Source organism: Homo sapiens, chromosome 13 (genome assembly GCF_000001405.40).
Source record: "Homo sapiens chromosome 13, GRCh38.p14 Primary Assembly".
Lineage (NCBI taxonomy): Eukaryota > Metazoa > Chordata > Mammalia > Primates > Hominidae > Homo > Homo sapiens.
In genome coordinates, this window is record NC_000013.11 from 67,370,521 (window position 1) to 67,395,445 (window position 24,925).

The 24,925-nt window shown below is 35.1% G+C and overlaps 1 long non-coding RNA gene across 1 annotated transcript; it reads left to right on the forward strand.

Annotated features, from left to right (window-relative positions):
• The first annotated feature begins 1,866 nt into the window (after positions 1–1,866).
• Positions 1,867–9,474, forward strand: LINC00364 (long intergenic non-protein coding RNA 364). The gene is made up of 3 exons (NR_130792.1): positions 1,867–1,950; positions 4,345–4,445; positions 9,031–9,474. It is a non-coding gene; the product is annotated as a long intergenic non-protein coding RNA 364 (long non-coding RNA).
• Positions 9,475–24,925: the final 15,451 nt, after the last annotated feature.

A 24,925-nucleotide genomic window follows, 5' to 3' on the forward strand; every position in this document is an offset into this window, starting at 1 on the left:
ATATTATATATTTTTTCCAGTTGTTATAGATATCCCAAAATATCATTTATCACCATTTTGATGTCATGGTTGATATTAAACCAGCAACTATATCTTATTATTTAATATGTTAAAGAAACAAATACATACCATAATTTAAAAATTATTTTGATAAGTATATTTTAATATAACTGGCTTCCTTTTTAATCCTGCGTATTTTATTTTATGGATTTAAATGGAAAATTCTAAGAGGTTTATAGGCTGCTCTGAACTCTTGAAGGGGTTTACAGAACAAAGAAGTTTAAAAACTCCTGTTCTACTTTCACGTCCTAATCTTGGTCCACATGGGAGAATAAACTCAAAAAGGGATAAAGGCCAATAAAAATTACCTAGGTATGATTGAAAGATATTCTCAGAAAGAGGTTACCGACTGAAAATTTGAACAAAAAATTGCAATATCATCCCACATCACACAAAGAAAAATCCATAACATCATAAATTTGGCTCTGTCAAAGTAAACATTGGCCTAGCCTAAATTAGGCAGGCTTTATTCTTTATTTTCCCATTGCAATAGGGGAGAGAGACAGAAAACCCCACCAAAACAAATGTGGGAAAGGTTTTAAGAGCTGGAATGGAGGAGGAATTTTAGGACAACTATTTTTGCTAATTGGCCTTACCTAAAGAAAAAGCAAGCTTTCTCCTATCTTCGTGAGGGGAGGTAATTTTACAACTTAAAGCAAGGCCACTTACTGACGTTAAGCTTCTGCTCGCTCACAGAAACTGGGAGATGGGAGCGCTTTCTTCCTTTTTTTTCTTTGTTTTCTTTTCTTTTTTTTTTTTTTTTTTGAGACGGAGTCTCGCTCTGTCACCCAGGCTGGAGTGCAGTGGCGCGATCTCGGCTCACTGCAAGCTCCGCCTCCCGGGTTCACGCCATTCTTCTGTCTCAGCCTCCTGAGTAGCTGGGACTACAGGCGCCCGCCACCACGCCCGGCTAATTTCGTTTTTGTATTTTTAGTAGAGACGGGTTTCACTGCGTTAGCCAGGATGGTCTCGATCTCCTGGCCTCATGATCCGCCTGCCTCGGCCTCCCAAAGTGCTGGGATTACAGGCTTGAGCCACAGCGCCCAGCCTCTTTCTTCCTTGATGAATATATTTCAAAGGGATGGCTCCCAGGTCTTTGAGAAAGACATCCCTGGGTTGTAAATCCTGTGAGAGGCTTTTTTTTTTTTTTTTACTTACATCTCAAAGGGGAAAATGAATTTTCAATTCCAAGTTTTCTAACATTAAATGCCCTTAAAAATGGAGAACAGGACCTAGGTTCAGGAAGAAGCTTATCTAATGTTTAGTCAAGCTGAGGGAACTATTATGGCCATCCTTGCTATCTTTATCAGTTCCTCGTAGTGTTACTCTTCATAAAATAGAATGAGGAGAAAGAATTCAGCTCCTTCAAGAGAGACTATTTCTGAGCATAGGTGTGTGTGAAAGAGAAAGTGTGTTTGTGTGTGTTTGTGTGTGTGTGTAAGTGTATGTGTGGCATTTTGCAGTAATGCACAATGCTGTCAAATAAATATAAATTGGAATTTCATATGAACAACAGAAAAACAAAACCAAGAGCAAGTGGATAAAGAGTTCTTGGGATAAGAAAGACTCAATAAAATGTTGCTTTTTGTTTACCAAATTTGATCAAATAAATTACTAAATAAAATAATATGGCTTTGTCAACACATATAGGGTTTTCTGGCAGTCCTTTTTAAGAAAATAATTCCCATTTCTTTTTCAGTCTGTCTTCAAAAGAAAAGATACGCCATCTAATCTCGATGTAAGCTCTTAATGTACCACAAAAAGCAAATAAATCCAATGTCATTCTTGATTAAATAATCACCTTTTCAGGGCAAAGCCAAGAAGTGATTTTCCCCCCTCCCTGCCACGGGAACTGTGACCTAATTCTCATTCCTAATCACAGAATCAAAGGTTAGTATTTGAACAACCTGACACTCACTTTAAGTCTTTGTACTTTTCTGCCAAAACTTCAACTTCGTTGACATTCCTTGATTATCCACATTAATGACTGAATCAGCTATTTTTGCCCTTGGATATTTCTTGTTCTTTATATTCTGCGCTACATTTTTTCACACAATAGTAATCCCTGATCACAATGTTAGAATTAATAATAAGTTAACAACTGATACAGACTGAATGTTTTTTATTTTTCTTGTAAACTTATTTAACCTTATAATCCCATTATTGTTATAATGGCAATTATTTGATTCCAAGAAGTAATACATTTATGATGGCTGATGACAAGCAAGTTTAAACTTGAACTTCTTTGAACAAAGACCTTTTTTTCTCCTTTTGTCCAAAAACTAAAATTATATACACTTTCCCAAGTCTTCCCTTTGCATAACAAAACACAGAAGTTTCCTTGAAACTGAAATTTGGCATCATAGTTAATTTTTTCTGTACTTTGAGAATTGCCCTCTGGATAACTTAAGAGAGAAGAGGGTGGGGAAAGAGAGCCATTATGTTTTGTGTCTCCTCAGTGTAAATTAAGTTGCTGGTTTTGGGTCTAAAGGGGGCATGCATTTCCATGATAAAGGGAGAGATCTGTTTCGATTCAGGAATACAAATGGTTAAAAACAAGATAAAGCTATTACCTACTCTAGGACTCTACTTCTGCAGAGAAAACTCCTGGGTACTTCTAATAAGAAAGATACACTGGAGCTTCCTGACAGGAACAGAGTGAGCCTTTGTTAGTCCTGGACTTTTCTGTCACTCACTTATAGATAATATCAAGCACTGTGGCAGAGACAAGGTATATATGACTGCTACTTAGACAGTGGGAATGCTAAGCCTCTAATTGAATTTCTCTCTGAGAAAAAGACATTTTCTTGGGGGAAAAGTAACATTTTGTCAAGTAAAAATGATCTGCTAATTGTTGTAGAAAATTTCTCAGTTTTTATATAATTGATCTTAGTTTTATACTTAAGTCTCATTACCCTCTCCACATTATCCATTTGCAGCTTCTTTACAGTATGTTTGTGCTTGCTAGAGTAACAGTAGACTTTTTTTTTTTTTTTTTTTTTTTTTTTAGTTTCTAGAATCTTATTCATGGAAAATCTTCATCTAAGTGGTGGAGTTTTCACATTTAAAATGCCACCTAACAAAATGTTACAAGTATTGTTTTACTGCTGTCTTCCTAATTATTCATGTATGTCTATGTGTATAGAATCACAATCACTTATACTTGTTAATGTCAGGTATAAAATGTTGAAATTCTATATTGTCACTCTAGATGCACAGTCAAATGCACTATTTTCAAGGCACACTGAATACACGTAGCTTTTCTTTTCCCTGGAGGCATAGAAGGTACACAGTTTCTTCATCATCTGTTTAACTCCAAACCTTTTCTGAAAATTGAAACTTTCTACTTTGCATATGTGTCTTTATTTCCCTCCTTCTGTTTATTGATATGATTGATTTTACATTCCGGTTACGTTACTTTACAGGAAAATATAGACAGATAAAAATTGCGACTCCCTTGTGTTTGAAGATCGGTTCATCACAGAAGGAATAATGGCTTCTGTTTTGTGTGAAAACTCATGTAAAGGCATCTTGTGCGAGTTTAATATCAGTAAGGGTGGATGAGTCATTTTGTTATATTTGTGTATGAGATAAACACTATTAGGATTTAAGATTAGTGGAAATTGTGAAAGTACAGCAAATAAGCAAGGATTTCTTTTTTCTTATTTTTTTCAAATATTTTATGTTTTGAACAGAGTTACTGAAAAGAGACAAATCCAAATGCCTGTAAAAGTGAGAATTTTCCACATGTTCTCCCAAGATATGGTGACAAAAAATAAACATCCATTAATAGCTAAAGCTTAATTTTATTTTTTCCTCTAGATAGAATACAATGAAGATGATGATTTATAAATGAATATATCTACCATTAATTTTATATGACTATAAAGAAAATTACTAGTTAAATTTAGTACTAGTTGTTTTAAACTCATCTCTCTTTGCAGCCCCAGAAAATGACATCTACTTTTTCTAGCTCTAGTGTGTGTACGAGAATCTGTCAATCATTTTGCAAGATGTTTTATATTTAAGTGTATCTGTCAGGAAGTCCTATTCAAGATCCATTGGAGTTATTCTGGGCAAACAATTGAAGTAAATCCTTTTGGAAATATTAAAAGTAATTACTAAGCCCAAAAATGTCTGTGCAAATTTGAAAAATGAAAAGTAAATTTTGGAAATATATTGTCAAATCACAATCTATTTAAAGGTTAAAAAATATGTTTTTGAGAGGTTATTTTAATATTTTAAGTGGTATAAAAATGATGATTTTTCTTTTTTATTCTCAAGGAGAAATTTATTTCAATGAGCTAGTCTGAAAGAGCTATTTGCCAAATGGCTTTCTTTCCAATACTTAATGAAAAGATGCATTTTGTACTACTTTCAAAAAGGTAAAGATTTTTTAAAAAATATCACCCATTCCTTTGCTTAATATGCCAGAGTGATTTTGATTGCTTTTGAAATTCTAAAAATGATAGATAAATTAGAGTCATGCTTTTTATTATCACGTTAGATGGACCTTAGTTTCTATACTCTTTTCTTCAAGGTAGATAGAAGAATACTGAGGCATGATCAAGAACTTATTAAAAAAAACTTAAATGCTCTACTTAACAAGTAATTAAACTGTTTAAAAAGACAAAAAATGCCTGTAATACTGCTTTTTTAAGTGTGTGAAAACTATTTGTAAAATAAATTACATTTACAATACAAATTTAATTGTATTATTTTAATATATATAAAGCTATAAAGACAGGAGGCAATAACAGGTTATAAATGCTTTAAAATCTCAAAATTCTACATTTTCAACTTTCTTTTTATTAACCTGCAAAGAGGGATGCTTATGTGAATGTTCCGCCTTCAATTTCCTTAACCTCTCTGTGGATTTTGTTTCTCCCTTCTAAAATGTGTATTTTAATAATAATCCTAACAATATTTTATCATTTTTAAAAATAGATATATTTCAAAGTGAATTGTAATCTGCAGTGGTAACTATTTATTATAAGTTAACAATGTATTGGGAGGTCGAGGTAGACAGATTGCCTGAGCTCAGGAGTTCGTGACCAGCCTGGGCAACACGGTGAAACCCCGTCTCTATTAAAATACAAAAAATTAGCCGGGCGTGGTGGCGGGCGCCTGTAGTCCCAACTATTTGGGAGGCTGAGGCAGGAGAATGGCGTGAACCTGGGAGGCGGAGCTTGCAGTGAGGCGAGATCGCGCCATTGCACTCCAGCCTGGGTGACAGAGCAAGACTCTGTCTCAAAACAAAAAATTCAAAAAAAAAAGAAAAACAATGTAGTCAGTCACATATACAACTCTTATTGAGTATGTACTGTGTTTTCAACACTAGTTTAGGACCTGATATTAATGTAATTCTGAATTCAGTGTTTCCGATTCTTGAAGACAATATCAGCTAACTTCAATTCATATTATAATGATGTTGGCCTAGAAGTCACTTGTATTAGTTTGTCATTGCTGTATAACAAATTACCACCTACTTAGTGATTTACAAAAACACACAGTTATTAGTTTGCAGCCCCTTTATCTTTGACACATAATATAACATAATCATGGCAGTGATATCCCATCGTATTTATAGGTTCTATAACACCCAAGGAGAAGGGATTATACAGGGTATGCAGAACAGAGGCAGGAAACTTGGGTACATTTTAGAATTCAGCCTACCTATCGCAATATGCCAGGGTCACTTGATTTGAACTGTAGAGGATGGTGACAAATGTGTCTTATTCACAGAAGGCTATGAGAATAGGCTAGATTTGGAAGGGGAATGAAGAAGAAACAAGTGACATGTTCTCCATGAAGTAGACACTCTAAGCCTGCTATCACTGAAATGTACTACTTTGACTTTGTAAAATTAGCCAGTCCTGACAGCTATCACTGAAATGTACTACTTTGACTTTGTAAAATTAGCCAGTCCTGACAATCAGAATATGAAAGGCATGCTGAATTACCAAATTATATTGAATATGTCCTGTATTGGTGTTACTCCCTGATATCACAAGACAAGACAAATTGCAATCCAGGGATTTGACTAATGAATGTATCAAAATAGTTATGATGACATTGGAAAAGAAATAGGATCTCAATATTTTGAGATATTAAGCCAGAGACACATGTACATTGATAATGGCACAAAATTGTCTGTATTCATGACTCAGTCCTTGAAAGTTTGTATTACAAAATGAACAATACAATCAATCAACTATTTCTAGTCACTTTATATTTGATTCTTCTGTCACAATGGCTTTCCTCCTCACTTCTATAACTCAAATTGGAGAACGACTGTCTGCAGTTGTAATATGTAAAAAATAGTCCACATTTTGATGGATCCTTATTACTTATTAAATGTTTAATAGGCTGCAGGGCTCACGCTAAGATCTGTTTCATTTCCCTTGGTGCATATAGTATTACTTGATAGCGGAAGGATACTATCCATTTTTGGAAAGTTTTATAAATAGTATTAGGGAAAACTTCAAGATACTTATTATTTTCTCCTATTTAAGTTACACTGAGTTGAATTTACAAGTATAATAACTTTAATGGGGAAAATTATTAAAGTTAAAAAGAAAATAGTGGAGAGAAAAATCATTACCTGTATATAGAAAACTAAAGAATTAAAGAAACATTTTTCGTGTGTGTGATTTACACTATCTTCAGTGTAATCGGAATAGGGAAAGGTCACAGGGCTCAACAGGTAACCCCCTGCTGCTTTTCTCATCGCTGGTTTCCTGTTCACTCTATACACGGGTCTCTTCTCTTTTTCTAATACATATTGACTTTCTTATTTCACAAACCCTGTGATATTTTGCACAAGGTTGGTAACCCTGAAGATTTTCTTTCACTGCAAAACAAAGGGTCATTCTTCTGAAGATGTTTCATATATCCTCGTTTTTAAATGTTGTTTAGAAGAGGAAGGAATGCCGTGGTTTAAGGTAACACAATTTTGTATAAAAATTTCTTTCTTTAAAACCCTAATGCAGGGTTGATAAGGCTTGACCATATGTACTGTGTATATGTGTATACAGTTTAATTATATGTAGAATTAATGTTTACCCAACCTAAAGCATGCATGTGCTTGCATACAAATGTGTGCACATGTATGTTCATGTTTGGGCATGCCCTCCCCCACTCCCACACACAGAAACACGTGATCACGCACACATATATATATGTGCGTGTAATTCTGTTCATCTTTCATTCCAACCAGGTTTAGGTATACATATATACAGGTATATATATATACCTATACTTGGAATGAACCAACCAATCAACCATCTATTTAATTTGAATTTCAGATAATAATAGAAAATTGTTTACTACAATTTGTATTTTAGATGAACATCAAACAATATTTTGGTATATTTCCCAAGCAACATTAGAGATTATTGCTTGCATTATTGCTTTTCCATGCAACACATTAGAATATTTTATTCCATAGTTGGATCGAATCTCTGTTTATCCTCACTCACCAAAGCCCTCTCTACTAGTTTAGCATGGTATTAAGTGCTACACAGGAAACCAAAACAAAACAACTGCAATTGCATCATCTTTTGCAAACAACTCAATCTCTTTCATTTTCATTTACCTCATCTGTAAAAGGGGATAATAATACCTGTATATCCAAATTAGAAGTAAAGTAAATTATATGTGTATATATATAGCTTTCAATAAGAATTTTCACATAGAAAGTACTCAGTATTTTGTTTTTATAATTTTTTTATATCTTTTTATATCTTTTTATAAAGATAGCAATGGTACTATCTGTTTTTGTTTTGTGAATATCACTGCACCTTAGCCTTTGATCTCTCTGAGAACTAGACCTTAGATTATGATCGGTCTCCTACTTCTGTTCCCAGAGAGAACTACTATTAAGAGTTACTTTTCAAAATATTGTCTCTGAACATATATGCATATGTACCTAAAATATCTTATAGAAATTAAGTAACGGTATGCTCAGTTGTGGGCCTTGCTTTTTCTTCACTCGATGTGTATCTTGAAGATCTTTCCATATAAGCACACATAATTCTATTATTCTGAATTACTGCATAATATGCCAGTACATTAATATAGCATACTTTATTATTATTATTGAGAGAGACAAGGTCTCACCCTGTTGCCCAGGCTAGAGCACAGTGTGTAATCACAGCTCACTGCAGCCTCAATCTCCCAGGCTCAGGGGATCCTCCTGCTTCAGCCTTCTGAGTGGCTAAGTCTACAGGCACAGGCCACCATGACTGGCTAATTATTTTTTTTCTCTTTTGGTCGAATAAAATAAAAATGTTACCCAGACTGGATAATATACTTTATTTAAACTGATTTGTAATGATGGACATTTAGGTCTTTTACAGTAATTTGCTATTATAAATGTTTTGACAGGAAATATTTTTGTTTATATATCTTTATTCACAAGAAAATGTATCCGTAAATTCAATTCTTAAAGTTTAATTATTGGATTTAACAGTATACAATTTATGTTGTTGCCAGCCAAGTATTATGATAAGATAATAGACACATTTTATAAATCCCTCATTTTCTGCAAATAAAATTCCTTAGCTTGTAGGCTTGTTTTATTACTGCCTCAACAGCATATAAACAAATACACATATACCGTCTTCCTAGTATTTTTGGAAAAGCTACTCAAATGCCGTTAATTATGTGATTGCTTGTATATAACATCACAGATTTTACTTTTATTACTGTTTACTTAATTTAATGGTTACTTAACTAAACACTATTACTTATTTTAAGCATTAAATGTGTATGTCTATTCATTTAATATATATGCCTATATGAAAGGAACAATATAGAGTACTAATGTGCAAAAAGGGACTTGAGTCAATAACTTAAATTCTCCATGCATTCTAAGCCTCAGTTTTCTTATTTTTAAAGGGAATAAGGATTACTTTTCAAGGTGACAGACTTAGCCTTTCCTTAATCTTTGCGTTCTCTTCCTCTTAGTGATATGGACAGGAGACGGAAATACTGGGTAGAAAAGGGCAGTTCCCTGGCAAAGCCTCACCCTCAAGCCTGGATACCTGCTGTCTTAAACGAAAACGAAAACAGGCATTTCTGTGTTCATGCTCCAAAAGTTATCTTTTGGCCTGCCACACCCCCTATCCTGCACCCATATGAATCCCGAACCCCAGACTCCAGAAGCAGACCAGCAAGCCCGCAGACCAGCAGAAGGATGGCAGAACGATGTGGCAGAGAAAGGGAGAAGAGGAGGAACATCTGAATGCCAAAATGAGTTCAGCTGGGGGCAGTCAGAGAGGAGTCCAGCCACTGGGCAGCCAGAATCCAGGGGAGGATCACCTTTCCACTTCATCCCCTTCCTCTGCCTCCCCATCCATCCTGCTGAAAGCCACCTCCACCACTCAATAAAACCTGCCATTCATCCTTGGAGTCCATGTGTGACCTGATTTTTCCAAGACACTGGACAAGAGCTCAGATACAGAAAGCTATCACCTTGGCCCTCTGCCCTTGTGAAAAGGCAGAGAGTTCATTGAGCTGATTAACACTCAAGCCATCTGCAGACGGCAAAGCTGAAAGAGCATTGTGGCTCACTCCTGCAATCCCAGGACTTTGGGAGGCCAAGGCGGGTGGATCACAAGGTCAGGAGTTCGAGACCAGCCTGGCCAACATGGTGAAACCCCGTCTCTACTAAAAATACAGAAATTAGCTGGGCATGGTGGTGTGCAATCCCAGCTACTCGGGAGGCTGGCACAGGAGAATTGCTTGAACCAGGGAGGCAGAAGTTGCAGTGGGCCGAGATCACGCCACTGCACTCCAGCCTGGGTGACAGAGTGAGACACCTTCTCACAAAAAAAAAAAAAAAAAAAAACTCAAAAAAAAAAAAAACCTTGGTAACACTGGGGTTGCAGGCACCCACCCCTAGACACTACCACGGGGCTGGAGGCCAGAGCGCTTGCCCCAGCCTCTGCACCTGCCCATCTGCATGCTTCCCCTCCTGCAAGAGGTTTGAGCAGCGGGGTGACAGAACAGGCATACGTGCAAGGGGAATTAGGGAACTCTTCCATTTCACTAAGTCACATTAAAAGATTCAAAAAGATATTAAAACATATATATTACCGTATTCTTAAAAAAAAAAACCTGCTATGTAAGCCAGTTTTTACTAGAATACAGGAGGTTACATAGACTAGAACTTTCTGAAAAGAGTGGAAAAGTCTGTATCTTTAATGTTGGAGAAGAGAAAGGCAGAACATAGCTTGGGTGACTCTACACTTCCAATATCCAAAAGAATATAGATGTATATAACTTTATAAGGCATACAAACTATTAAAATACTCTACCAGGAGAAACAGTATCATTACTTAGGAAATAATTATGTGGATCAAAAGCATGTTTACTTATTTCCAATTCACAATCCCAAAAGGAAGCCTATCTGTTAATAAGCTCTCTCCATTTGCACTGAACCTACAGTTTAGTACATATTCATCCAGAAAGTACAATGAAAATTCAACAAAATAATGCATTGCGAAAGTGAAAGGAAAGTAAATCTTGAGGCCCCCAAATCATTAAGCTAAAGGGAAAAGTCAAGCCGAGAACTGCTTAGAGCAAACCCGTCTCCCATTTATTCAAAGTCATTCCTCTGCTCGCTGAGATAAATAAGTATCTAATTGCCTCCTTTGGAAAGGCTAATCAGAAAATCAAAAGAATGCTACTGTTTATCTCTCACTTACCTGTGACCTGGAGGCCCCCTCCGTTTCAAGTTGTCCCGCCTTCATGGACAGAGCCAATGCACATCTTACATATATTGATTGATGTCTCATGACTCTCTAAAATGTATAAAACCAAGCTGTGCCCCGACGACCCTGGGCACAGGTCTCAGGACTTCCTGAGGCTGTATCATGGGCACGTGTCCTCAACCTTGGCAAAACAAACTTTCTAAATTAACTGAGACCTGTCTAAGATATTTGGGTTCACACAACTAAGATTATACCTAAATTTCAAAAATAAACAATGAGTTATAAGACATTTGAAGACAGCTAATAGCAAAAAAGAAAAAGCCTAAGGTGAGTAAACAGAACATTTACTCAAAGAAATACATATTTTAAAATTATAGTTACTGATCTTAGAGATATTCTTAAATATATTCAAAAATCAAGAATTGAACAGGAGTAATATGAGTAAATTAAAATTATGATTGCTAAAATTAAAACTTAAAATCAATTAAGAATATGATGATTGGGCCGGGCGCGGTGGCTCACGCCTGTAATCCCATCTCTTTGGGAGGCCGAGGCGGGCGGATCACGATGTCAAGAGATCGAGACTGTCCTGGCCAACATGGTGAAACCCCGTCTCTATTAAAAATATAAAAATTAGCTGGGCGTGGTGGCAGGTGCCTGTAGTCCCAGCTACTCGGGAGGCTGAGGCAGGAAAATTGCTTGAACCCAGGAGGGGGAGATTGCAGTGAGCGGAGATCACGACATTGCACTCCAGCCTGGGTGACAGAGTGAGACGCTGTCTCAAAAAAAAAAAAAAAAAAGAATATGATGATTGAATTAGCTATTTGCAAGACAGACCCATGTATATATTCCAGAATATAAGAAAAAAATTAGATGAAAAAGTTGAGAGAAAATTAAGAGATACAGTTAATTGTTTTTACGATGACTTTAAAGAATTCAATAAAATTTTCGGAAAGAATTAAGCAAGGAAATTATTAAAGAAATTCATGAAGAACTTTTCAAAAGCAAAATTAAAATAGAGTTGTTTGAATTGAAAGGGCAATTCAGTGCCAATCAGTTTGAATGAAAAAATTCAACAACATAAAAGGATTTCAGAGGACCATCCACAGAGAAAGATCTTAAAATCTTTCTTAAAGAAAACACACATCATCTAAATGGAAAGAGAGTTAAATTGTCATCAGGAAGCTTTAGTCAGAAAGAATTTAGGAAGACAATTGAGCAGTAGCTTCACAGTTGAGAGGGATCATGTTTTTGAATCTAAAATGTTATACTCATGAAAATCACAGGGAGAGTTTAGCAATAAATAAAAGGTAACCAGGCTAAGATAAGCTTACATGTACAAAGTTTTATTATTATCACATAGCATATACCTGTTGGAAAATGGCGCCTCCTTAGCCATCATGCATGTCTTCACATCTGCCATATGGGCACAGCTAAGCCACAGGCTTCCCCATCTCTTGGCAGAACACTGTGTGTTGCTTCCTGGAATATGGCGATCTGAGCAGTCTTCCCAGGAGCTGTACACAGATGTTTTACGTATACCTTCCTGTTTCTATTCAGATATGGAACATTCCACCATATCCATCATTTAGCTGAAAACCTCCCTTACTAACTTCTTGGTCTCCTCTGCCATCTGGCCCCTCTGGTTCAGAGACATCCTGTGGGATGTAGGAAGCCAACATGACACTGATCTTGCTTATGTTATCTGTGTAAGTTACAAACTGCCCAAACCCATTTGGGCTCATTGTCATTTTACTGACCAAATCCATGAGAGTGTGGCAAGCCAATCTCTAGCAGCTATGTCAGAGTTAGACAGCACATTTGCTGCTTAGCCACTTGCAAATAGAAGTTTAGCATCTGAATAATGTTAAAAGAGATGCAGGCTCACTGTTTAATTCCTTTCTTTTTTCTTTTTTCTTTTTTTTTTGAGATGGAGTCTCTCTCTGTCGCCCAGGCTGGAGTGTAGTGGCATGATCTCAGCTCACTGCAACCTCTGTCTCCCAGGTTCAAGCGATTCTCCTGCCTCAGCCACCTGAGTAGCTGTGATTACAGGCGTGCACCACCATGCCCAGCTAATTTTTGTATTTTCAGTAGAGACTAAATTTTAGATTTCACCATGTTGGTCAGGCTGGTCTCAAACTCCTGACCTCGGGTTCTGCCCACCTCAGCCTCCCGAAGTGCTGTGATTACAGGCGTGAGCCACAGCTTCCACCTGTTTTCTGTTTGTTTGTTTCAGTCTTTGCTCTATTTGTATTGGCTTCTGTCCTCATTCTTGTTGCCTCATGGTCACATGATGGCTTTAACTGCTCCAGACAGTTTCACAATTAATGTACAAGAGATTAAGGGGGTTGCATAGGGCAGCTTACATGACATCAGCCGAGTTTTTTTTTTTAATTTGCATGTCTTTAGGAGACATTTTTTTTCTTGATATGTCCTTCTGTTAGCAGAATTTCACTTAGGTTCACCAGATGCGATTGTGTTTCTTAGCCATTCATAGCTGTCAGGAAGCTGAGAATTGAGGACTGAGACCGAATTTCACTCTCCTAAGGCTTTATATTAGAGGCTGACAAGGAAACCTGGAGCTGGGAAAGAGTATTAAGTAAACCAGTCATACTCTTTGGAAAAACCAAATTAGATTTAAGGTAAAAAAAAATAAAGACAATTTCAGGCACACACACACAAAAACTCAGAAAATCTACCTTTCACAGACTATGCCTAAAGAAAAAATTACTTGATGATATACATATATTGAAAAAAAAAAACTTTAAAAGGCAAACAACAAAAAGGGGAGGAAGTTCTGGAATTAAAGCAACATTAAACCAAACCCAGGAGTAGAAGTTTTTTAAATGTGGAATGTTAAAAGGTGGCAGAAAATAAGAGGTCTGAAAACAATATTGCCAAAAGTGTGCTGTATTACAGTTAAAGGAAATTTATAATTTTATGATGACTACAAATCAAATATTTTCTATAAATAAGGTGAAAAAGTAATCTAAAACTCTAACTAAAATAAAAGCTGTTCAAAAAGCCTTATTCCATCTATGCCAAAAAATGTAGTGCAACTTTTAAGCAATCAAGACACATATACTTACTGATATAATTTTGTTTTTTTCTTTATGAGTTCAATTATATAATTTGAACTTGAAGTAAAAAGTAGTAACTTAAGCATGATATTGTGAATCTTGTATATTGCTTTTTAGTTTGTTCAATCAACATACAGAAAAAAAAAGACTGAATTGTAATTGAAGCATGTGAATACTATAAACTTGAATAATGCAAAAGAACAGTATATTCAACATAAATCAGGAGACACTAGGAGACATGAATCATGTATAGAGTTTCAATAAATACTTTCTATAATTAACACATCAAGGATGAGTTTTACATATATATAGTCAGGTGAAAGACAAACTAATGAACAGAAACAAAAATTTGGAGGCTAATTTGGAAGGAATTACAACAGGCAGGACAAATTCTCTAATACTCTTATTTCTTATGTTGGGGGATCAATACATTTTATCTAAATACAATCAAATAAGTAGACAAAGTATAGGCATAATATTTAATATTTTCTTGATAGCTATAAAATGACCTAAAAGCATAAATGGTAAAAGTTAGTGAACTCAGTAAGGTCCTGGATATTTTATCACTGAATAAAGTAGCCTACTGAATGGGCTACTTTTTAAATTTTACTGTTTTGTTTCCCTAGTTCATTACATTTAAGATGGTGCAAATCAAACGTATGATTTTTTACAAATTCAAAAAAGAAAATGCTGCAAATTAAACTGTTTTAATTCATTACTAAAATTTAAAATTTTAATTTTATACTTTGAAAGAGTTCTGTCAGGCTTACATATATATATATATATATGGAGAGAGATTATTTTTAAGCATACATCACCATAGTGAATAACTGAATGAAAAACATAAGTGAAATAAATTAGTTTAGGTATTTTTAAAGTTTTTTATATGAAGAGATTGAATCACTGTTCCTCTCGGTTTTACTAATGTCTATGTTTTTTTTCCAAAATATATTCTCTATTGAACTACCAACAGAGTTAAAGATACATAATTTTCTTCAAATATTGCTCTGCTGTGTCTCCAAAACTTTCTTCTATGAGATGGACACTGATTCTACAAGGTTTGTTGCTCATACTCCATTTGTCTTACTGGTGTGTGTCTATGTAAGATTTTTTAAAATATAAACAACTCATATTCCTTTCTTAGGTAGTTCTCAAATAGTTTGTTGATAGAAATCTTGATCTATCAGTTGTATTATAATGTCACAAAGAACAGTGACATCTACTCATGTTCAAGCAGTGATATATTTGTCATGTATTTATTTTTAATTTTTTAAAACTTTTATTGTGGGTTTACGGGTACATGTGTGGATTTGTTATATAGGTAAACTGTGTGTCTTGGGAGTTTGATTTACAGATTATTTCATCACACACGTAATAAGCATAGTGTACTGTAGATATTTTTCCTGATCCTCTCCTTCCTCCCAATCTCCATCCTCTAATAGGCCCCAGTGTCTGTTGTTCTCCTCTATGTGTCCATGTGTGTTCCCATTATTTAGCTCCCACTTATAAGTGAGAACATGTAGTATTTGGTTTTCTGTTCCTGTGTTAGTTTCCTTAGGATAATGGCCTCCAGCTCCATCCATGTTGCTGTAAAGGACATGATCTCATTCTTTTTTATGGCTGCATAGTATTCCATGGTGAATATGTACATTTTCTTTATCCAAGTCTACTGTTGATGGTCATTTAGGTTAATTCCACATCTTTGCTATTGTAAACAGTTATGCAATGAACATAATAGTACATGTGTCTCTATGGTAGAATGATTTATATTTTTGGGGGTATATACTCAATAATGACATTAATTGGTAGAGTGGTAATCCTGTTTTAAGTTATTTGAGGAATCACTGTGCTGCTTTTCCCAATGGCTGAACTAATTTACACTCCATAGGCTCAAAATAAGGAAATGGAGATAAATCAGTCAAGCAAATGAAAAACAGATAAGAGCAGAGGTTGTTGCAGTCCTAATTTCAGACAAACAGACTTCAAACCAACAATTTAAAAAAAAAATACAAAGAAGGGCATTATATAATGATACAGGGTTCAATTCAACAAGAAGACCTCACTGCCCTAATCATACACACACCCAACACAGTAGTACCAAGATTCATAAAGCAAATGCTTAGAGACCTACAAAGAGACTTAGAAATTCTCACACAATATAGTGGGAGACTTCAACACCCCACTGACAGTAGTAGACAGATCATCAAGGCAGAAAATTAACAAAGATATTCAGGACCTGAACTTGACACCTGATCAAATGTACCTAATAGACATCTACAGAACTCTCCATTCCCAAGCAATAGAATAAACATTCTTCTCATCACTACATGGCAAATACTCTAAAATTAACCATATAATCAGACATAAAACAATACTTGGCAAATTCAAAAAACTCTCAAATTATACCAACCACACTCTTGGACCACTGTGCAATAAAAATATAAATCAATACTGAGAAGATCACTCAAAACTGTACAATTACATGACAATTAAATAACCTGCTCCTGAATGACTTTTGGGTAAATAATGAAATTAAGGAAGAAATCAAGACATACTTTAGAACTAATGAAAACAAAGACAAAAAGTACTAGAATCTCTGGATACAGCTAAGGCAGTGTTAAGAGGAAAGTTTATAGCACTAAATGCCCACATCAAAGAGTTGGAAAGATCTCAAATTAACATACTAACATCACAGCTAGAAGAACTAGGGAAACAAGAACAAACCAACTTCAAACTTAGCAGAAGACAAGCAATAACCAAAATTGGAGCTGAAATGAATGAAATTGAGACATGAAAAACTATACAAAAATCAATGAACCCAAGAGTTGGTTCTTTGGAAAATTAATAACATAGATAGACCACTAGCTAGACTAATTAAAAAATACAGAAGATACAAATAAACACAATTAAAAATGATAAAAGAGATGTTACTACTGACCCCACAGAAATATAAAAAAACTATCAGAGATGACTACAAACACCTCTATGCATTCAAACTAGAAAATCTAGAGGAAACTGATAAATTCCTGGACACATGCAATCTCCCAAGACTGAACTAGGAAGAAATTAAATTCCTGAACAGACCAATAACAAGTTCTGAAATTAAATTGGTAATAGAAAACGTACCAGCCAAAAGAAGTCCAGGACCAGACGGATTCACAGCTGAATTCTACAAGATGTATAAAGAAGAGCTGGTACCATTTCTACTGAAACTATTCTAAATAATTGAGAAGGAGAGATTCCTCCCCTACTCATTCTATGAGGTCAGCATCATACCAAAACCTGGCAGAGGCACAACAAAAAAAGGCAACTTCAGGCCAATAGCCTTGATGAACATAGATGCAAAAATCCTCAACAAAGTACTATCTTTGTTGTTTAATGCTATTTGGTGGACAGAAATTATAAGATTTCATCAATCATAGATGCATCTTCACTTTAAAAATGTTAAAATGTGGAAAAAACTATGCAACTTATAATTGATGAAATGCAAGGCTTGACCTATATCTGTATAGCTTTCCTGCTACTGAGTGATATGGCTGTCAAGTACTGACTTCCCAGATACTTAATGTTGAATTGATGCATTAGTTTCTAGCCTCCATTTTAATACATATGTCAGCTACCATAATTTTTCAATGAATAAAACATTATTTTATCCTGACTTTCAATGCATATAGCATAAATAAGAATTTTCTTTCTGCCTTTTATATTCTTCTTTATTAGTACTAAGAAAGAATATATAAATGTGATTTTAGAGGTATACAAAGTAGTGATTGGTTTAATTGGCTTAATAAAATTGGATTGCATATATTCTAAAGGCCTCAGGTAAAAGAGAGACACAGGTGTTATAGATGGCCAGGAAAATCATTTGACCTTGAAGATTGGGGCCATGAACCAAATTATGTATGCTCTATAATTATAAGGCTTATCATCTCCACTCAGAATGGAGCCTATTTTGTGAATTATCAGAAAGCCAAATTGTTTTGTCATATAGTGGGGTAAGTTCTAGATGAGCTTAGTCCGACAGAAATGCAATTTGAACCACATATGTAATTTCAGTTTTTCTAGTACTCACACTGAAAAAGGTAAAAAAAACATATTTTTTATTATATATAACAAAGTCTTAACAAATAACATTATCACAACATATCAATTTTAAAATGTTTATGAAGTATTTTACATATTGTTGGTACTAAGTCTTCTAAATTTGCTGTGTGTTTTGGACTTACCAGCACATCTCAATTTGTGCTAGTGTTCAATAGCCAAATGTGGCTGGTGGCTAACATACTAGACGATACAGTTCCAAATTTTAAATACCAGGGTAGTTCTAGACTATAGATACTATTGTCTTTGAAATAACTATTCCTAGCTTCCATTTAGATCTACCTGCCTATGGCCAAGGAAATATATGTGTAGTGCTATGATTTTAGGTCCACTGGTTTCTTAAGCAGCAGTGGTCACTGAAGTGCTGATGTATATATGAAGAGGGAAGCGTGGCGTCAAGTCTGTGAAATGCTATAGGCCTCAGGTTGTGAAGACATACTGGAAGAAACTTCAAGAAGACCTCTTCACTACTGGAATGACAGTAGAAGGCTGATCTGGAGAGACCGGGTCATTGGTGTATGTGATCTGCCTTGCATCTTAGCCTCTCTTTTCAGGCCTGGATTTTGAGAGTGAGAGTTTCTGTTTTTGTTTTTCTTCTTGACATCCTCTCTGTCTCTCTCTGCTCTCTTCTCTCTGTCTCTCTCTCTTATTTCTGTTGCTAGTCCTGTTTTCCTCTTTCAGATCCAAAATTTTTATATCAAACTTGATTCCTTTACTATTTTGTTCTCTTTTCCTTTCCTTCTTCTCTTTGCTCTCTACCAATGTTTGTTTTTTTCCCCTCTGTGTCTTCTGTCTTAAGACATAAAATCCATTCACTGTTGATCCATCATGAGAGGCAGTAATGTGTTTTCCCTTTGATATTAGTACATCCACATGCTCAAGCACGAACTGCACACTCTATTACTACTGCCTAACCCTGTACTTATGCAGAACATCCGCTACTTGCCATGGTTTTGTTGTGTTTAATGCTTGCTTATAATTTATTCTCCACATAATTTCTTACATTTTATCTGACTGTTTTTCATCAGAATGCCTTCGACATTCTCAGCTGTATTCTTCAAGCTGTGTTTTGCTCTGGTAGGCACTCACAAATCTTTATTATTGCTGTATGCTTGGAATGAAAGATTAAATAGTTATTAGTTTCTACTTGTCTAAAACAGTCTGTTTTTGCTTTTTAATAATACACAGAGTTTTTAAATGTAACATTATTTTTAGGCATTTTAAAAATAAGAATTGGCCAACTGATAAAACTATTTAGCCAATTAATGAAGCCATTGCTTATAAAAGTAGATATAAAATTTAAAAAATACACACACACACATCTTTTGTTAGAAGTTGTAATAAAGCCTCCATCTTAAAAAAATAAACTTATAGAGGCTTGATTTAGTTTCATGTTAGATATCACTGAACAATGTAGGTTTTAAGAAAATAAAATACAAGTCTATAAATAGGCATCAAAAAAATATGAAAAACTAATATATACTATTTTGAAATTCATTATTCCAGAGGAAGAGCCGCCGCATAATTCTCTGGGCTAACTTTATTAAGATCTTATGTACCAAATACTCTTCCAAGTGAGTGCATCCAAAAACATAATAAATATTTATAGTAACCTAATGAAGTTCATTTCCATTTAACAGATGAGGAAACTGAGATACAGAAGAATAGCAAGAAAGTAGTAGAACCAGGATTTAATCAAAGGACATATATTTTCAGAAGTGATTTTCTAGACAGCTGTATCATATCATTTCTTATCAGGTATATATGTTTTAAGAGAATGAGGAGAACAGGGAACTATGACATAGGCATTTTTATTAGGCTGCTAAGATTAATTACTATAAATGTCAGTATTCAACTTACAGTAAAATGGCAAAGTGCTAACCATCCTCTAGTATCTGTAATCATCCAACATTAAGTTTGGCCGGGATCAAAGTTGCTTGGAATGAAGACTATATTTCCCATCATCCTTGAACCCAGATGGGACATGTGACTAATTTCTGACTAGTGTGATGTTAAATGTAACTTAAAAAAATTTGTTAACCTTCAAGGTTGTGTGCTTAAAGAAAAATATGACCGAGTTATACATGCTTTTTCTCTTTTCCCCTTTCCCCTTCCCCAGTGGGTAGAGTGTACACATGGTGGTGAGTCATCTTAAACTCTGATGTCAGGTCATCCCAAGAGGAATGTTTTACAGCAAAACAGAAGGCACTAGCATCATAGACAGACTCATGTCAGAGTCTCCATATTAACCATGATTTACATTAGAGATAAATAATTGTCTATTTTCTTTAAATAACTGTTACTCTGGTTTGTTTGTTTGTTTTTTTGAGACAGGGTCTCACTTCATTGGTCCAGACTGGAGTGCAGTGGTGTGATCATGGCTCATAACGGCCTTGACCTCCCAGGCTCAAGTGATCCTCCCACCTCAGCCCCTCAAATAGCTGGGATTACAGGCACACACCACCATGCCTGGCTAATTAAAGAAATTGTTTTTGTAGTGATGGAGTCTTGCTATGTTGCCCATAGCTCTGCTGGAGAAAAGACAGCAGAGCAGGTAATATTATATTTCTACTATGCCTCTGTTCAAGAATTTTATATCCAGCATTCCTTATCTGCTTATCAAAGACACTGTGCATATATTACCCGCACATGCGCACACATACACTTCAGAGATAGGGAAAACAGTTCTGCCCCAAAAGTATGTCTCTAACAAGATGTGTAGATGACAATGTTTTCAGGAATATTGTAATCTTATAAAAAGGTCTCCTTGGAAAGCATAAACTAACTTGATTTATTCCAATTGCCTGACAGTGACTAAAGAAAAGTCTTAGTTTGCAGAAGTCTGTGAAAGAAACAATCTATTTAGTTCTTTTAGACATTGAAAGGTGTGAGTTTTTCATGCCACTAAATAGTATTAGAAAAACCAGTTAAGTTGATGTTCCAGCTCATAGATTTTTCTCACTATTCCCTGAAAAACTGTGGGAGTGGGAAAAGAATTTTGTTATACTTGGTTTTAACTGTTTCCAATTTTTACCTTAGACAAACTGTGTATATAGAGTCAAACAGTACTCAGTTTGAAATAACTTGACACTGCATATATTAAACTAAACAGAAGGCAATGCAAGTACACTGAAACTGATTTAATATGCAATATTTATCTGTGGGAGAGAGAAACACTATTCAATTGAGGCTGATTCATCCTCCATTTTCTGTGCACAGAATTCCACAGGAGGTCATCTGCTATTATTTTATCCCCATTAGGTATGCTTGAATATATCAGGTAGCAACAGAGTAAAACCTGTGATTATGGCAGACAAGGTAACCTACTCTTCCCCATGTAGCTAGCATGCAGAGCTTAAGTCTCTGCTTTTATCCCTCATCCACTTTGTGACTGTGAAATTACCATGATTGTTTTTGGAAAAAAAAAATGTTGTGTTTTCACTTTGCTGGTCAACCTAGGGGGCCCTTCCATGCTATGTACTGCTTCTCACTTAGGATGAATATCATTTTTGAGTTTGAACAGATCTACTTTTGGTTAATTCTCTTGTCACAACTCATTAATAGAACATTTTATTTTAAAAAATGATCTATTTTTCTAGATTAGAGTGCTTGCTCTCCAAATATAAATAATATTTCTTTCTTCATATATATTTCCAACTATTATTTTTGAAAGCTAGACTTACTCAAGATTTATGTACTCATAGGAGTAGTATTCAGGAAGATAAATTTGAGCTTTAAATATACTTAATTCAATTTTTTTGTTATTACTCCTGCTTCATTAAGTTACTATGAATTCTCTCTAATATTACACTGCCATCAATTTTAGTAATCTGCTGTCATAAAAAAGACAGCCATCAAAGTTTGAGTGCTTTTAATAACCTTCATTTAAAAAAGGTATGTGTGTATATACATACCACACACATATTAACACATTAAATATCTGTATTTAAATACACAGTAAAGCAAAACACACACACACAAACACATATATATGTGAAGATTGGCAAAAAGCACAGAACTTATTTTTCTTAGTGTATACACTAGAATTTCTATATTCAAATGGTAATTCTTTAAAATAGTTATTTTGGAAGGGCATCGCTTACTTCAATAACATTATTGATGCTTAAAACTTCTACAGAATGTTTTCTGTGAATCTTCCGAGCTACTTTATGTTTTATAAAATGGCCACTTTTATTACTTGATAGCCACATGTGGTTTTGAAACCAGAAGGGGCTTTTTTCCAGTTTCATTGCTTTCCATATTTCCATTCAATTTAAAGAAATTTTGGCTTTTTAAAAATATATTAAATCCATACAAGATAAAGTATCGGCAAAAATAAAAATATTCTTATCCAATCCCAGCTTGTAATTTTCCTAGACTACTAATTGCTCTTTTTAGTGTTCCAGTTTCTCCTTAGTCATTTGGGACTAAAATATGGCAAATATATTTCCTTTTGTCTCTTTATTGTCCGTAAATCAATTTTTGAACTTCTTAAATCTGTGGAACCCAACCATTTCGCTTATTTTCATAAATGCCACCAACATTCAGGCTTTATTACCTCTTACATTATAACTGGTTTACTTCCCCAAACTCTAGCCTCCACTTCGTTTCAGTTCTTAAATCTTTCACATTGTAACTTGAAGGCTAGGGAATGTGCATCTTGTCTAGTTTATAACTATAGGTTGCCCTTGACTCATAATTTGGTGGGGCTTCCACAGGGCTGGTGTGTGGTCATAACAGGAGATAACTAGTCCTTTCTCCCCAGGATGACAAGGTGACCACAGTTCTCTTCAAGCATTGTAGGTACACGTAAGAGCGTAAGTGTATGTAAGCTGGTCATGTCTACGTATATATTTACTTAAGAAAGATTATAAATATTCTTTACTTTTTAAAAATGCAGCTTAGAATATAAAACAGCAACATGACCTTGTTCCAGGCTAGAATCTGAAAGCTCTGCTAGAACAAATGTCAGGCAAAAGAAGCGAGGCCGGTTGTTTATTTTGCCTGGGACATATCAAACACTTGTTGCAGCTATATAACGAAATTCTCTAAGTGATGAGTGGAGGAGGCATTCCAAAATAAAGAGCATGACTATGACCATCTACCTCTCTTAATATGCTTTTTAAAATATATGTTCTAAACAATAGTCTAACATAGGTTTTTCTAAAAATATATTAAAATTCATGATTCAAAAATTATCACTGCTAAAAATTTCATCACTACAGCTGAATTCACCATTAATCTTGGCAATAATCACACAAATTAATCATAAATGCTATATCTATTTTCACCTTCTTTTCCTTTCCACTTTTTTTATTTCTGGAAGAGGGGCCATTTGACTTTAACACTTTATTAGCAAGAATGTACACTTACTTGCTCAAGGGAAACCTGTGCTATTTTGATTTCGTATCTCACTAAAAACTATAAAGAAGACAAATTCAAAGGCCTACCTGTTCATAAAGTGCATTACCCCTGTTCTTCTGTTTCTAAGCCTGTGGAGTGGTGTACGTAATTATCTGCTGACCAGGATCCCAGATTGAATCTCTCTTGCTTGTGAAGCATTTACTTTTCCTCTTGGAATTATTATTCCTAGTCTTCTTCCAGCATATTCTCTTATTCTTCACAGATTTGTGAAATTAAACCTGAAGTGTTTGATCATGATTTCTCCAGAAATGAAAATATTTTGAGCACAATTAGAGAGATCCTTAGCTGATATCTACTTAGATGGCTGACAGTACTCCTCCATCACGGGGACACTGTCCCAGGAAAAGAGAATTAAAAAAAGAAAAACGGATAGGAAGAATGGGCTGAAATGCTTTTCTTTTACCTTGCCCTTTTGTTAATAATTATCAGCCATTAGTTTTCCATTTTTAACTGCCATTTGACATGGCAAGACAGAAAAGAGATTTATGGAAAAAAATGTTCTTACATGGTCATTGCTATTCCTTAGTTTGTCACTTATTTCTTTGGCAAATAATATTATTAATATTGGCTGGTATTTTTTTGAGTGCTTACTATGTACTAGGAGCTGTCTCATAGATAGAGCAACTCATTTAATCCTTAAGACAACTCAATGAGTAAAATATGTTATTATCTCTACTTTATGGTGATAAAACTGAGGCATTGAGAGATTAAAAACCTTGTTTTCTTACTGCTTAGCACTTCGTAAGGGTTCATAAAATGTAATTTCACTGAAAGAATAAATGAATGGGTAAGTGAAAATCATGTTCTCTAGAGTTAATTTAAGGAGCAATCATTAATATACAATGGATTTCCAGTATGTATTTCTTATACCATTTCACTAGATACTGGAAGAAATCTTGTATCAGGATATTTAGAATTTCTGAGCTTTCTCTTTTCTGTCTTGGTTTGGTTTCTCTTACTCTTGAGTCTTCCAGATACTGATAAACTTCTTTTGCCTTCCTGATATTTTGCTTAAACTCATTCCATACAGGATTGGTTATCCCCTTTTGTTCAGGATTAATATTTTCAAGCTTTGCTTCTGTTCTTATATCAAGATTGCCTGAAGCATGGGATTTTTATCAAGTACTTGGCTGAGTGACTTTTGCATCTTTCCAATAAGTACACCAAAAGATTCTGATAGTTGGCTGGGCACGGTGGCTCACACCTGTAATCCCAGCACTTTGGGAGGCCGAGGCGGGTGGATCATGAGGTCAGGAGATCAAGGCCATCCTGGCTAACACGGTGAAACTCCGTCTCTACTAAAAATACAAAAACATTAGCCCAGCGTGGCGGCGGGCGCCTGTAGTCCCAGCTACTCTGGAGGCTGAGGCAGGACAATGGTGTGAACCCGGGAGGCGGAGCTTGCAGTGAGCCGAGATCTCGCCACTGCACTCCAGCCTGGGTGACAGAGCAAGACCCTGTCTAAAAAAAAAAAAAAAAAAAAAGCAAAACAAGATTCTGATAGTTATTACCAGGCATCATCTCACTTACTATGTGTGTGGT